At 42.0% G+C, this 2,394-nt stretch overlaps 2 annotated features.

Moving 5' to 3' along the window:
* Positions 548 to 767: an enhancer, noted in NCBI's record as "active region_22668". NCBI's record gives its function as "activates an Ori minimal core promoter by ATAC-STARR-seq in GM12878 lymphoblastoid cells {active_cell/tissue: GM12878}" and the evidence as "EXISTENCE:reporter gene assay evidence [ECO:0000049][PMID:35858748]".
* Positions 978 to 1,147: an enhancer, noted in NCBI's record as "active region_22669". NCBI's record gives its function as "activates an Ori minimal core promoter by ATAC-STARR-seq in GM12878 lymphoblastoid cells {active_cell/tissue: GM12878}" and the evidence as "EXISTENCE:reporter gene assay evidence [ECO:0000049][PMID:35858748]".

A 2,394-nucleotide genomic window follows, 5' to 3' on the forward strand; every position in this document is an offset into this window, starting at 1 on the left:
TGTCTTGCAGGTCACTCATGAGGATTACATGAGACGCTACATGTGAAGGCACTTACGGTGGGTCTTAGTGTTTACAGAAGGAAAAGGTAATCATTAACACACGTATTCCACCTTCCATGCTAAGTGTACGCTAATAACCGTGGTTTTTCTGAGCAACAGATCATATTAAATTGAAAAATTAAATTCAGCCGGGCATGGTAGCGCATGCTTGTATTCCCAGTGCTTTGAAAGGCCAAGGCGGGAGGATCACTTTAGGCCAGGAGTTGGAGACCAGCCTGGACAACACAGCAAGACCCCCATCTCTACTAAAATAAAAATATTAGCAAGGCACAGCGGCACATACCTGTAGTCCCAGCTACTTGGGAGGCTGAGGCAGGAGAATCACTTGTGCCCAGGAGTTTGAGGATGCAGTGAACTATGTTTATACCCCTGCACTCCAGCCTGGGAGGCAGAGCAAGACTGTCTCCAAAAAAAAAATAATAATAATTTCAAAATATACTTTATTGTAACAATTATTTCAGGCAAAGCAATCTTCCTGATTTTCTTTAAAAAACATTGCCCTTTACGAGAAATGGTTTAGTCATTTTGCTTCATACAATCTGCTTTTAATCTTTCTCTCATATTCCGTTGGGCCAAACAGAAACTGAAAGAAGTTAGGCAAGCAGAGGAAGGCTAGGCCAGATTCTTGCATTGTTTCAGTTCCACAGAGAGCTCTGAGAATGACACAGATTTAAGATACAGGGGGTGGGAATGAAGGAAAGCAAGGAAGGGAGGGTATTTCCAACTCTGAGAAAATATCCCTAGCCAGGAAACAAAGCCTCAGGCCTCAGATTCCAGAAAGGCACCAGCTTGGTGACAGCCCGCGCCCACTGGCAGCCCAGCCCTCACCTGCACTGCTTTTTCACAAGAGCCCAGTTGGAAAGCCCACGGGTTGGGCCATAGAACTTGGTGCATTTTGCTGCAGCTTTGTGTTTTGGAGGGCAATATCATTCGTGGCCTGGAGGGCAGTATCAACATCAGAAGAGCGTGTTTACTTAGGTGTGGCAAGGCTGGTTTCATGTATTAGATTAGGAGGCAATTTGCTTACCCTGTCAACCACTCTAGCCATCTCTTTGTTTTGGTGTTTGTGTGCCTTAATGTTTTGTGCCCATTGGTTTGTGTGGCTGAAGGGGGATAAGTTGCAGTGCAGGTGCGTAAGAGCGGTCTCTCAATAGATTATTTCAGATAATCTACAGTCATCCCTTGGTATCTGAGGAAGATTGGTTCCAGGACTCCCCACAGATACCAAAACTCACAAATGTTCAAGTCTTTGGCATAAAATGCTATAGTATTTGCATAGAACCCTTGCACATCCTCCCAGTATACTTTAAATCATCTCTAAATTACTTATGATACCCAATAAAATGTAAATACTATGTTAATCATTGTTATACTACGTTGGTTAGGGAATGATGACAAGGAAAAAAAAAACATCTGTACCTATTCAGTACAGAGGCAATTTTTTTTTTTTCAAATATTTTCCATCCATGTTGGTTGAATCGTTGGCTGCAGAACCCATGAATACAGAGGACCAACTGTACTTCAAATGAAATGATCCATTTTTAATATAAAACAAGCTTTTCAGTGGAAAGTAATAGACCATTAACTAAATCGTATGTCTGGTCCTACCAAACTTCTGCTTGCAAGACATTTAGACTACCTTCACATTTTCTGATTTCCACTTTGCTTTGATACCACGAAAATTTTCTTGCCTGGGAACATATATTATACAAGCGGAAAATCAGTCAAGAGATCATTGAATATTAATTCTCTGTCATTATGTGCCCAACACAGATGCCTTAGGAGTTAAACAGAGGCATGCATATGCTCGACTTAAGACACTGTGTCACCAACCTCCTCCCCTTCTTCATCAGAGGCAAGAGAGAGCCCACAGACAGCAAGCAACCCACCCTTGCCCAGCAGTGACAGGAGCAAGCCCCGTGCCCAGAGACTGCTAAGACCAGCCTTATCATTACAACCTTTTTGGAGAATCTTGCTGAAAGGCTGGGCGCTCTGAAGAGAAGCATGGCATCAGTAAGGGACCAGATTGCCAGTGTTTGCGTCCTGGCCTTGCTGCTTACTAGCTATTCCCCTCAGGCTAGTTTCCAATCTCTCAGCACCTCAGCTTCTTCATCTGTAAAATGGGGATAAACACGGCACCTATTTCATGATGTGATTGTGAAATGTCACTGATTTAATACATGTGAAGCAACTAAAATAGTGCCTAAGTTATAGGAAATGCTTATTATTATTATTATTTGAAAATTACACTACTCAACAATTATACAAAAAAAAAAATCTGTTTTTCCCCTAATCTCTCTAAACAAAGGCACTAAAACTCAAAGAGTTAGTAAC

Source organism: Homo sapiens, chromosome 5 (assembly GCF_000001405.40).
Source record: "Homo sapiens chromosome 5, GRCh38.p14 Primary Assembly".
Taxonomy (NCBI): domain Eukaryota; kingdom Metazoa; phylum Chordata; class Mammalia; order Primates; family Hominidae; genus Homo; species Homo sapiens.